This window comes from Homo sapiens, chromosome 1 (assembly GCF_000001405.40).
Source record: "Homo sapiens chromosome 1, GRCh38.p14 Primary Assembly".
Taxonomy (NCBI): Eukaryota; Metazoa; Chordata; class Mammalia; order Primates; family Hominidae; genus Homo; species Homo sapiens.
In genome coordinates, this window is record NC_000001.11 from 121,591,802 (window position 1) to 121,605,726 (window position 13,925).

Consider the following 13,925-nt stretch of genomic DNA (forward strand, 5'->3'; position numbering starts at 1 on the left):
ACTAAAATTAAGAATACAATAGTATGTATAATCTTTTTAAAAAACTGAAGTACTTAGGTAGAAATCTAACAAAATATATACAGGACTACTATGATGTAAACTACAAAACAGTGATGAAAGAAAGAAGGTTTAAATAAATAGACATCCAGTGTTCATGGATTGGAACACTCAACAGAGTAAAAATGTCATTTCTCCCCAAGGTAATACACATACTTTATACACTTATTATAAAAATCTTAGCAAGAATTTTTAAAGACAAAACTAAAGTTATTTTAAAATTTATTAGGAAAGGAAAAGGAAATAGAAGAGCTGAAACAATTTTTGAAAAATAGAAATGAAGTTGGAGAAATCACTTCATCTTATTTTAAGAGTTATTATGTAACTACCTTAATCAAGACTGTGTGATACTAGCTGAAGGATAGAAAAACAGATCAATGAAATAGAAAAAGAAACCAGAAATAGTTCCACGCAAGTATTGCCAAAGAGTCTTTTCAACAAATGTTGCTGGAAAAATTGTATATCCAGAAAGATGACCCTCACCTTAAATCTCACACATTAGCCAAAAATCATCTCAAACTGGATTATAGATTTAATGATAAAGCAAACTGTAAACCTGTTCCACCCATGTTTATAGAAGCACTTCTCACAAAGCCAAGAGGTGGAAGCAATGCAAATGTCCAAATGTCATTGACAGATGAGTGGATAAGCAAAATGTGGTATATTCATACAATGGAACATTATTCAGTCTTTAAAGTGGAGGGAATCCTGTCACATGCTACAACATGGATGAACCTGAAGGACACTATGCTTGGTGAAATAAGCCAGTCACAAAAAAATCTGTATGGTTCCACTTATATGAGGTATCTAAAGTCATCAAATTTATAGAAATATAAAGTAGAATAATGGTTACTAGGGGATGGGGGAGGGAAGAAGAGTAATTGGTTAATGGGTATAGAGTTTAAGTTCTGCAAGAAAATGTTCTGGAGATCTGTTTCACAACAATGCAAATATACTTAACATTACTAAACAGTACACTTAAAAATAGTTCATCTTAACCATGGCAAGTTTTATGGTTTTTAAAATTATAATTTAAAAAGTGGTAGGATAAAAAATCCTATAAATCTTTCAGAAGAAAAATGCAATCTTTAAGATCTAGGGCTTGATAAAGAGTGCTTGACATCAAAAAAAGCCATAAAAATAAAATTGGTAAATTACACTTCATCAAAATTTAAAACTTTTACTCTGAAGGACCTTGTTAAGAGGATGAAAAGACAATCTACACACTGGGAGAAAATATTTGGGAACCGTATATCTTATAGATGATTCATTTAGAATATTTAAAGAACTCTCAAAACTCAACAATAACAACAAAACAAAAATTCTAGCTAGAAAATGAGCAAGAGACATGAACAGGCCAAAGAGGATATATAGATGGCAAATAAGCACATGCAAAGATGTTCATCACTAGCGATTAAAAACAGCAAATGAAGACCACAATCAGTATCACTACATACATATGAGAATAGCTTAAAACTACTGACAATATCAAATGTTGGTAAGTATACACAGGAATTATCTCTCCCATACATTGAGGAAATGCACAGACACTCTGAAAAGCAGTGCAGCAGTTTCTTTTTCTTTTTTTTTTCTTAGTTTATTTTTGAGGCAGAGTCTTGCTTTTTCACCCAGGCTGAAGTGCAGTGGTGCGATCTCGGCTCATGGCAACCTCTGCCTCCCTGCTTAATTTATTTTTGAGGCAGAGTCTTGCTTTTTCACCCAGGCTGAAGTGTAGTGGTGCGATCTCGGCTCATGGCAACCTCTGCCTCCCTGCTTAATTTATTTTTGAGGCAGAGTCTTGCTTTTTCACCCAGGCTGAAGTGTAGTGGTGCGATCTCGGCTCATTGCAACCTCTGCCTCCCTGGTTCAAGTGATTCTGCTACCTCGGCCTCCCTAGTAGCGGGGATTACAGGCACCTGCCACCAGGCCCGACTAATTTTTGTATTTTTAGTGGAGATGGAGTTCACCATGTTGGCCAGGCTGGTCTCGAACTCCTGCTCTCAGGTGATCCACCCGCCTCACCCTCCCAAAGTGCTGAGATTACAGGCTTAAGCCACTGCGCCCAGCCGCAGCAGTTTCTTAAAGGGATAAACATATATGGCCAATAAATCTCATTCCTGGGCATTTATCTCAGAGGAATGAAAACTTAGGTCCACACAAAGAATTGTACATGATTGTTCATAACGGCATTAGTTACAAAAGCTTAAAGCTATAAGTAAACAAAATATCTTAAAGTAGGAGTATATTTAAACAAACTGTGGTACATCCATATCGTGGAATATTGCTCCGTAATAAAGAGGAATGAATTGTTGATACATGCAACAATTTGGATGGATTTCAAGGACGTTATGCTAAGTGAAAAAAAAGCCCATGTCAAAAGATCTGAGTCCATTGATGGGATGTCCTTGAAAGGACAAAATTACTGAGATGGAAAACAAATTAGTGGTTACCATGGGTTAGGAATGCTGAGGGGGGGGGCAGGGAAGTGGGAGTAGATGTGACTATAAAGAGGTTATAATAGGGAGATCTTTGTGGGAATGGGTTAGTTCTGTATCTTGGTGGTTGTGTGAATCTGCAAATGTGATAAAAGACATAGAACTAATACATATACATTATAACCAATGTCAATTTCCTTCTTTTGATATTGTACTATAATTACTTAAGATATAAGCATGGGGAGAAACTGAATTAGGTGAAAATGAGACCTCTCTGTAATATCTTTGCAACTTTCTATGAATCTGTAATTTTCTCAAAACAAAATATTTTAAAATGTTTGAATCAATTCATTAGTCTAAGCATTAAATGATTAGTATTAGAAAAGAATATGGACGTTTTTTACTTTTTTATTATTGGTTTAGGTAGAAAATCAACCTAAACTATCAGCTCAAACTATTGGCATAAAAGCAAAGTACAGAGTCTGTTACAAGCCCATGTGCTCAGATGTCTTACCAGATAGTCCTTGCAAGAAAAAAAGAGAAAAGTCTTTCTTATTTCTATTTAAATGACAATACAGGATTTAAAATGTCCTTTCATCATTGAATGATTGACAATATTTATGTATAAACTTGATAAAGATCATTTGAGAAGAATCTTTGTTTTGTGTTACTGTAGCTACATAAGAGAAAGAAATTATATATATTAAATCTCTCATTGTATCTAGCCATAGTTACAATAGCCGCTTTATAGTGGGAAAAAAAGGTTATTTTATTTTGGAAATAAGTACATTTTCAAGTATGAATCAAAACCTTTCACACTTACTAAAAAATATCTGTACACACAAAACACCAGAGTAAATATTCATATTCATGTCACCTCCCTATAATAACTACATTTACTCATATATTTCTTTCTGTGAATAGGTGTTCTGGATCCATTATAGTAGCTAAAATGTGGTGCAGGAGATAAGAGTGTTTAATCAAGGTTCACAATGATTTGCAGTGGCAGGAGACAGTTTGTGGCTAGAGATAACATTCAGCAGCACATGTTTATGAGTGAGACAGACACCTGTCTGATAGTACCATGAGCCAGCCTGTGTGCTTTGCTGAGGCATGTAGTGCTGAAAGCATTAAAATTCTGTGCAGTGAAAAAATGTTATGCTTCTAAAACTTTTGAGATTCTGAAAACAATTATCAAATGATACTCTAATTATGCTTTATGTTCTGAAGTCTCTTGTATTGGGGCAAACAAAAACCTTTAGCCTAAATATAAAACATGGTAATTTAAAACGTAAACGTAAGTATGTTTATCTAAAGAGAAACCAAAGTTTGTTTTTAATTTTTAGTTATTTTTTTTATTGTGGCAGAAACACTGAACTTGAGATTTACCTTCTTAACAAATGTATAGGCACAATGTTTTACACCAGATCTCTCTCTCTCTTTTTTTTTTTTTTTTTTTTTTGAGACAGGGTCTTGCTCTGTTGCCCAGGCTGGAGTGCAGTGGAGTGAACACAACTCACTGCAGGCTCAATCTCCAGGGCTCAAGCAATCCTCCCACTTCAGTCTCCTGAGTAGTTTCGACCACAGGTGCATGCCACCACATGTGGCTAATTTTTACAATATTTTGTAGAGACAGAGTCTCACCTTATTTGTCTTACATAAGTAAAACTTTATGACCTTTGGTCAACAACCTCCCATTTACCCTTCCCCCAGCTCCTAGCGACCACCATTTTACTTTCTATGAGATTGACTTAACGTTAGATAGCTCAGATAAGTGGCATCATACAGCATTTGTTCTGGCTAACTCACTTAGCACAATATCCTTCAGGTTTATCCATGTTCTTACATATGGTAGAATTTTTTTAAGAGCTAAGTAATATTTCATTGTATGTATATATCACATTTTCTTTATCCATTCATCTATTGAGGGACATTTAGATTGTTTTGAAATCTTGGGTGTTGCTAATAATGCTGCAGTGAACATAAGAATGCAGAAATTCTTTTGAGTTCCTGATTTTAATTCTATTGGATATATACCCAGAAGTGGGATTGCTGGATCATATAGTTGTTCTATTTTTACTTTTGTGAGGAACCTCCATATTGCTTTCCATAGTGGCTGCATCAACTATTCCCATCAACAGTGTATAAGAGTTCAAACTTTTCCATATCCTCAACAGCACTTGTTTTTTAAGAGTCATCCTAAAGGTGTGAGGTGATTGACATTTCTCTGATGACTAGTGATGTTGAATTTTTTTTTTTTTTTTGAGACAGGGTCTCACTGTGCCACCCAGCTGGAGTATAGTGGTGCAAACACAGCTTGCTGCAGCCTCAATCTCCTGGACTCGAGTGATCCTTCTGCCTCAGCCTCCTGGGTAACTGGGACTACAGGCATGTACCACCATGCTTGGCTAATTTTTAAGTGTTTTGTGGAGATAGGGTCTCACTATGTTGCCCAGACTGGTCTCGAACTCGTGGGCTCAAGTGATCCTCTCACCTCAGCTTTCCAAAGTGTTGGATTATAGGTGTGAGCCACTGAGCCCAGTTTGAATGCTTTTTTATATATTTTTTGGCCATTTGTATGTCATCTTTGGAGAAATGTCTATTCAAATCCTTTGCCCATTAAAAATTATTTTTTGATAATGAGTTGTAGAAGTTCCTTATATATTTGGAGATTAACCCATTATTGGATATGTGGTTTGCAAATATTTTAACCCATTCTATAGGCTGCCTTTTCACTCTGTTGATTGGTTCTTTTGCTATACAGAAGCTATTTAGTCTAAAGGAGTTTCACTTGTTCATTTTTGTTGTTATTGCCTGGGCTTTTGTCATATACAAGAAATCATTGTCAAGACCGACATCCAGAAGCTTTCCCCCTATGTGTACTAAGAGTTTTACAGTCTGGGGTCTTACATTTAAGTCTTTATTTTGAGGTGATTTTTATATATGGTGTGAGAGGAGAGTCCAATTTATTCTTCTGCATGTGAGTATCTGGTTTTCCTAACACTATTTGTGGAAGAGACATTTTTTACCCCATTGTGTATTCTTGGCACACTTTTTGAAGATTGGTTGGTTGTATATGCATGATTTTATTTCTGGGCTGTCTATTCTGTTCCATTGATCTATATTTCTGTTTTAACTTCAGTAAAGAAATATAATTAATTCAGCTGGAATTTTGATGGGGATTGCATTGAATCTGTTGAACACTTTGGGTAGTACGGACAAGTTAACACTATTAATTCTTCCAACTCAAGAGCACTGGATAACTTCATTTTTTGTGTGTGTCCCATTTATTTTATTACCGTTTATAGTATGTAGTTTAATTTCATGGTGCTTAGAAAAGATACTTGGTTTAATTTCAACCTTCTTAAATTTGTTAAAACTTGTTTTGTGACATATCCTGTAGAATATTCCCTGTTTACTTGAGAAGAATGCATATTCTGCTACCAGTGAGAGGAATGTTTGTTACACATCTGTGAGGTAAATTTGGCCTGTAGCATTGTTCAAGTCTGTTGTTTTCTTATCTTTGAGTTCACTAATTCTTTCCTTTCTTTTTTTTTTTTTTTTGAAGAAGTATTGAATTTTATTGAAAGCCTTTTCTGCATCTATTGGGATTAAAATGTGGTTTCTGTCTTTAGTTATCTCTATGTGATGAATCACATTTATTGATTTGGGTATGTTGAACCAACCTTGCATCCTAGGGATAAAGCTGAGTTGGTTGTGGTGTATCAGCTTTATTATGTGCTGCTGGATTTGGTTCACCAACATTTTGTGGAGGATTTTTGCATCAATACTCATCAAGAACACATATTCATTTAATGTCATAAATTTCCCTCTAAGGAATGTTTTAGTGGAATCCTATAAATTTTAATACATTATGTTTTCTTATTATCATTTAAATGAAAATATTTTTCCATTTTTTTATTATACTTTTAGGTTACATATGCACAATGTACATGTTAGTTACATATGTATACATGTGCCATGTTGGTGTGCTGTACCCATTAACTTGTCATTTAACAATAGGTATATCTCCTAATGCTATCCCTCCACCCTCCCACCAACCCACAACAGGCCCCACTGTGTGATGTTCCCCTTCCTTTTTCCATCTGTTCTCATTGTTGAATTCCCACCTATGAATGAGAACAAGTGATGTTTGGTTTTCTGTCCTTGTGATAGTTTGCTGAGAATGACGGTTTCCAGCTTCATCCACGTCCCTACAAAGACATGAACTCATCATTTTTTATTGCTGCGTAGTATCCATGGTGTATATGTGCCACATATTCTTAATCCAGTCTATCATTGTTGGACATTTGGCTTGGTTCCAAGTCTTTGCTATTGTGAATAGTGCCACAATAAACATACGTGTGCATGTGTCTTTATAGCAGCATGATTTATAACCTTTTGGGTACATACCTGGTAATGAGATTGCCAGGTCAAATGGTATTTCTAGTTCTAGATCCCTGAGGAATCGCCACACTGACTGCCACAATGGTTGAACTAGTTTGCAGTCCCACCAACAGTGTAAAATGTTCCTATTTCTCCACATCCTCTCCAGCACCTGTTGTTTCCTGACTTTTTAATGATTGCCATTCTAACTGGTGTGAGATGGTATCTCATTGTGGTTTTGATTTGCATTTCTCTGATGGCCAGTGATGATGAGCATTTTTTCATGTGTCTTTTGGCTGCATAAATGTCTTCTTTCAAGAAGTCTCTGTTCATATCCTCCACCCACTTTTTGATGGGATTTTTTTGTTTTTTTCTTGTAAATTTGTTTGAGTTCTTTTTAGATTCTGGATATTAGCCCTTTGTCAGATGAGTAGATTGCAAACATTTTCTCCCATTCTGTGGGTTGCCTGTTCACTCTGATGATAGTTTCTTTTGCTGTGCAGAAGCTCTTTAGTTTAATTAGATCCCATTTGTCAATTTTGGCTTTTGTGGCCATTGCTTTTGGTGTTTTAGACATGAATTCCTTGCCATGCCTATCTCCTGAATGGTATTGCCTAGGTATTCTTCTAGGGTTTTTATGGTTTTAGGTCTAACATCTAAGTCTTTAATCCATCTTGAATTAAGTTTTGTATAAGGCATAAGGAAGGGATCCAGTTTCAGCTTTCTACATATGGCTAGCCAGTTTTCCCAGCACCATTTACTAAATAGGGAATCCTTTCCCCATTTCTTGTTTTTCTCAGGTTTGTCAAAGATCAGATGGTTGTAGATATGCGGCATTATTTCTGAGGGCTCTGTTCTGTTCCATTGGTCTATATCTCTGTTTTGGTACCAGTACCATGCTGTTTTGGTTACTGCAGCCTTGTAGTATAGTTTGAAGTCAGGTAGGGTGATGCATCCAGCTTTGTTCTTTTGACTTAGGATTGACTTGGCAATGCGGACTCTTTTTTGGTTCCATATGAACTTTAAAGTAGTTTTTTCCAATTCTGTAAAGAAAGTCATTGGTAACTTGATGGGGATGGCATTGAATCTATAAATTACCTTGGGCAGTATGGCCATTTTCACGATATTGATTCTTCCTACCCATGAGCATGGAATTTTCTTCCATTTGTTTGTATCCTCTTTTATTTCCTTGAGCAGTGGTTTGTAGTTCTCCTTCAAGAGGTCCTTCATGTCCCTTGTAAGTTGGATTCCTATGTATTTTATTCTCTTTGAAGCAATTGTGAATGGGAGTTTACTCATGATTTGGCTCTCTGTTTGTCTGTTATTGGTGTATAAGAATGCTTGTGATTTTTGTACCTTGATTTTGTATCCTGAGACTTTGCTGAAGTTGCTTATCAGCTTAAGGAGATGTTGGGCTGAGACGATGGGGTTTTCTAAATATACAATCATTTCATCTGCAAACAGGGACAATTTGACTTCCTCTTTTCCTAATTGAATACCCTTTATTTCCTTCTCCTGCCTGATTTCCCCGGCCAGAACTTCCAACACTATGTTGAATAGGAGTGGTGACAGAGGGCATCCCTGTCTTGTGCCAGTTTTCAAAGGGAATGCTTCCAGTGTTTGCCCATTTAGTATGATATTGGCTGTGGGTTTGTCATAGATAGCTCTTATTATTTTGAAATACGTCCCATCAATACCTAATTTATTGAGAGTTTTTAGCATGAAGAGTTGTTGAATTTTGTCAAAGGCCTTTTCTGCATCTATTCAGATAATCATACGGTTTTTGTCATTGGTTCTGTTTATATGCTGGATTATGTTTATTGATTTTCATATGTTGAACCAGCCTTGCATCCCAGGGATGAAGCCCACTTGATCATGGTGGATAAGCTTTTTGATGTGCTGCCAGATTCAGTTTGCCAGTGTTTTATTGAGGATTTTTGCATTGATGTTCATCAGGGTATTGGTCTAAAATTCTCTTTTTTTGTTGTGCCTCTGCCAGGCTTTGGTATCAGGATGATGCTGGCCTCATGAAATCAGTTAGGGAGGATTCCCTCTTTTTCTATTGATTGGAATAGTTTCAGAAGGAATGGTACCAGCTCCTCCTTGTAGCTCTGGTAGAATTCAGCTGTGAATCCGTCTTGTCCTGGACTTTTTTTGGTTGGTAAGCCATTAAATATTGCTTCAATTGCAGAGCCTGTTATTGGTCTATTCAGAGATTCAACTTCTTCCTGGTTTAGTCTTGGGAGGGTATATGTGTCAAGGAATTTATCCATTTCTTCTACGTTTTCTAGTTTATTTACATAGAGGTGTTTATAGTATTCTCTGATGGTAGTTTGTATTTCTGTGGGATCAGTGGTGATATCCCCTTTACCATTTTTTATTGCTTCTCTTTGATTCATCTCTTTTTTCTTCTTTATTAGTCTTGCTAGTGGTCTATCAATTTTGTTGATCTTTTCAAAAAACCACCTCCTGGATTCATTGATTTTTTGAAGGGTTTTTTGTCTCTCCCTCAGTTCTGCTCTGATCTTAGTTATTTCTTGCCTTCTGCTAGCTTTTGAATGTGTTTGCTCTTGCTTTTCTAGTTCTTTTAATTGTGATGTTAGGGTGTCAGTTTTAGATTTTGCTGCTTTCTCTTGTGGGCATGTAGTGTTATAAATTTCCCTCTACACACTGCTTTGAATGTGTCCCAGAGATTCTTGTATGTTGTGTATTTGTTCTCATTGGTTTCAAAGAACATCTTTATTTCTGCCTTCATTTCATTATGTACCCAGTAATCATTCAGGAGCAGGTTGTTCAGTTTCCATGTAGTTGAGTGGTTTTGAGTGAGTTTCTTAATCCTGAGTTTTAGTTTAATTACACTGTGGTCTGGGAGACAGTTTGGTATAATTTCTGTTCTTTTACATTTGTTGAGGAGTCCTTTACTTCCAACTATGTGGTCAATTTTGGAATAAGTGTGGTGTGGTACTGAAAGGAATGTATATTCTGTTGATTTGGGGTGGAGAGTTCTGTAGATGTCTATTAGGTTGGCTTGGTGCAGAGGTGAGTTCAATTCTTGGATATCCTTGTTAACTTTCTGTCTCATTGATCTGTCTAATGTTGACAGTGGGGTGTTAAAGTCTCCCATTATTATTGTGTGGGAGCCTAAGTCTCTTTCTAGGTCTCTAAGGACTTGCTTTATGAATCTGGCTGCTCCTGTATTGGGTGCATATATATTTAGGATAGTTAGCTCTTCTTGTTGAATTGATCCCTTTACCATTCTGTAATGGCCTGCTTTGTCTCTTTTGATCTTTGCTGGTTTAAAGTCTTTTTTTTATCACAGACTAGGTTTGCAACCCCTGCTTCTTTTTGTTTTCCATTTCCTTGGTAGATCTTCCTCCATCCCTTTATTTTGAGCCTATGTGTGTCTCTGCAGATGAGATGTGTTTCCTGAATACAGCACACTGATGGGTCTTGACTCTTTATCGAATTTGCCATTCTGTGTCTTTTAATTGGAGCATTTAGCCCATTTACATCGAAGGTTAATATTGTTATGTGTGAATTTGATCCTGTCATTATGATGTTAGCTGGTTATTTTGCTCGTTAGTTGATGCTGTTTCTTCCTAGCCTCGATGGTCTTTATGATTTGGCATGTTTTTGCAGTGGCTGGTCCCAGTTGTTCTTTTCCAAGTTTAGTGCTTCCCTCAGGAGCTCTTGTAGGGCAGGCCTGTTGGTGACAAAATCTCTCAGCATTTGCTTGTCTGTAAAGGATTTTATTTCTCCTTCACTTATGAAGTTAGTTTGGCTGGATATGAAATTCTGGGTTGAAAATTCTTTTCTTTAAGAATGTTGAATATTGGCCCCCACTCTCTTCTGGCTTGTAGAGTTTCTGCTGAGAGATCAGATGTTAGTCTGATGGGCTTCCCTTTGTGGGTAACCAGAGCTTTCTCTCTGGCTTCCCTTAACATTTTTTCCTTCATTTCAACTTTGGTGAATCTGACAATTATGTGTCTTGGAGTTGCTCTTCTCGAGGAGTATCTTTGTGGCATTCTCTGTATTTCCTGAATTTGAATGTTGGCCTGCCTTGCTAGATTGGGGAAGTTCTCCTGGATAATAACCTGCAGAGTGTTTTCCAAGTTGGTTCCATTCTCCCTGTCACTTTCAGGTACACCAATCAGATGTAGATTTGGTGTTTTCACATAGTCCCATATTTCTTGGAGGCTTTGTTTGTTTCTTTTTATTCTTTTTTCTCTAAACTTCTCTTCTCACTTTATTTCATTCATTTGGTTTTCCATCACTGATACCCTTTCTTCCAGTTGATCGAATGGGCTACTGAGGCTTGTGCATTCATCACATAGTTCTCGTGCCTTTGTTTTCAGCTCCATCAGGTCCTTTAAGGACTTCTAGTTAGGCATTCATCTAATTTTTTTTTCAAGCTTTTTAAGTTCTTTGTCATGGGTTCAAACTTCCTCCTTTAGCTTGGGGTAGTTTGATTGTCTGAAACCTTCTCTCAACTCATCAAAGTCATTCTCTGTCCAGCTTTGTTTCATTGCTAGTGAGGAGCTTCATTCCTTTGGAGGAGGAGAGGCACTCCAATTATTAGAGTTTCCAGTTTTTCTGATCTGTTTCTCCCCCATCTTTGTGGTTTTATCTACCTTTGGTCTTTGATGATGTTGACGTACCGATGGGGTTTTGGTGTGGACGTCCTTTCTGTTTGTTAGTTTTCCTCTAACAGTCAGGACCCTCAGCTGCAGGTCTGTTGGAGTTTTCTGGAGGTCCACTCCAGACCCCATTTGCCTGGGTATCAGCAGCGGAGGCTGCAGAACAGCAGATATTGGTGAACAGCAAATGTTGCTGCCTGATTGTTCCTCTGGAAGTTTTGTCTCAGAGGAGTACCCGGCCATGTGAGGTGTCAGTCTGCCCCTACTGGGGGGTGCCTCCCAGTTAGGCTACTTGGGGGTCAGGGACCCACTTGAGGAGGCAGTCTGTCTGTTCTCAGATCTCCAGCTGCATGCTCGGAGAACCACTACTGTCTTCAAAGCTGTCAGACAGGGACATTTAAGTCTGTAGAGGATTCTGCTGCTTTTTGTTTGGCTATGCCCTGCCCCGAGAGGTGAAGTCTACAGAGGCAGGCAGGCCTCCTTGAGCTGCTGTGGGCTCCACCCAGGTTGAGCTGCTGGCCGCTTTGTTTACCTACTCAAGCCTTGGCAATGGCGGGCGCCCCTTCCCCAGCCTCACTGCCACCTTGCAGTTTGATCTCAGGCTGCTGTGCTAGTAAGGAGTGAAGCTCCGTGGGCATAGGACCCTCTGAGCCATGTGCGGGATATAATTTCCTGGTGTGCCGTTTGCTAAGACCACTGGAAAAGTGCAGTATTAGGGTGGGAGTGACCCGATTTTCCAGTTGCCGTCTGTCATCCCTTTGTCTAGGAAAGGGAATTCCCTGACCCCTTGCACTTCCCAGGTGTGTCGATGTCTTGCCCTGCTTTGGCTCACTCTTGGTCTTGGTGCACTGCTCCCTCTGTCCTCTGCCCACTTTCTGACACTCCCCAGTGAGATGAACCCAGTACCTCAGTTGGAAATGCAGAAATAACCCGTCTTCTGCATTGTTCATGCTGGGAGCTGTAGACTGGAGCTGTTCCTATTCAGCCATCTTGGCCCCACCCCTCCGAGTTCACTAATTCTTTCTTCTGCTTGATTAAATATGCTCCTGAACACTTACATTGAATATCTTAGTTCAGTTATATTCTTCAGTTCCAGAATTTTTGTTTGGTTCTTTAAAAAAAAATTTCTATTTGTTTACATTCTTAGTTTACTTACGCAACATTTTTCAGAATTTGTTTAATTGTCTGTGTTCTCTTGCAACTCCTGAGCCTCTTGAAGATGACTATCTTGAATTCTTTGTCAAATAGTTTTTATATCTCCCTTTCTTTAGGATCCATTACTAGAGATTTGTTTTCTTTATTTGATTGTATCATGCTTTCCTGATCTTTTCCTATTTTTTGTAGCTTTGTATTGATGTCTGGAGATTTGAAGAAACAACTAACTCTTCTAGCAATTCTCCATAAAGTGGCTTTGACAGAAAAAAATTTCCTGATCAGCCTGGCTAGGGATTCCAGGCCTGTGTTCCTAGTTGCCCGGGTATCTAGTCTTTTTGTTTTTAAAACTCATGGTTTCTTGCTCCTGCTGGTGTTAGACTGTGTCAGTTCCTTTAGTGCTCCGTGTAAGGCAAGACAGGCACTGACTCCTTGAGAAGTGTGCTGAAAGGCCAGGGACATTGGAGTCACATTCCACTCATCTTCTTTCCTGAGGGAGAAGTCTCAGTTCTGTACTGTTTCCAATCTTGCAGCTCTGTGCTACCTGTAGGGGGGGTGCCCGCCCCTTTGTCTTTGTTCCAAGCTATCCCAGTAATCTGAGCTATGCTGCTTCCTTCAGCACTTTGTTTGTGGTAACACAGAAACTAGCCTCTTGTGGAGCATATTGAAAAGCTGGGAAGCTAGGCTTATGGTTCACCCTCTCTTTACTCCCTTTGTAGAAGTCACGGGCCAGGCAATCTCTCTCTGTGCTGAGCTGTGCCAGTTTCAGGGAAAGGCTGATGTGGATAAAGTGAAATTACTCATATCCATTTCAGTGTGGCTGTTCTTGGTTTTGTGCTCATGTGTTGTGCTGCACCTCTTTACCTACATTGTAGACTTCTCATAATGGTATTTTCATGTATATATTATTGTTTGCTGTTTCTCTGGGGGAACTAAATGCTGGGACTTCCTATTCTTCCATTTTGTGGGCATCACTCTTTCAAAGTTTATTTTTTAATGTTATGAAAGCACACGGAGGTGATAGAAACTGTAAATCTACTTATACAGAGGAAACCACAGTTAAGAAAATTAAACCTCAGCAATGAAACATCAATTTCTGTTCTTACAGTTATTAAGTAGTGCCTTACTATTTTCTGTTATTCTGAGCTTAATAATTCCTGGTGAAGTACAATTTGAGCTCAGATCCCAAAACTTGTTCATTCAAATCGGTTGTAGAAAGAAACAATGATGTTCCCTTATATAACGGGAACAGGCATTA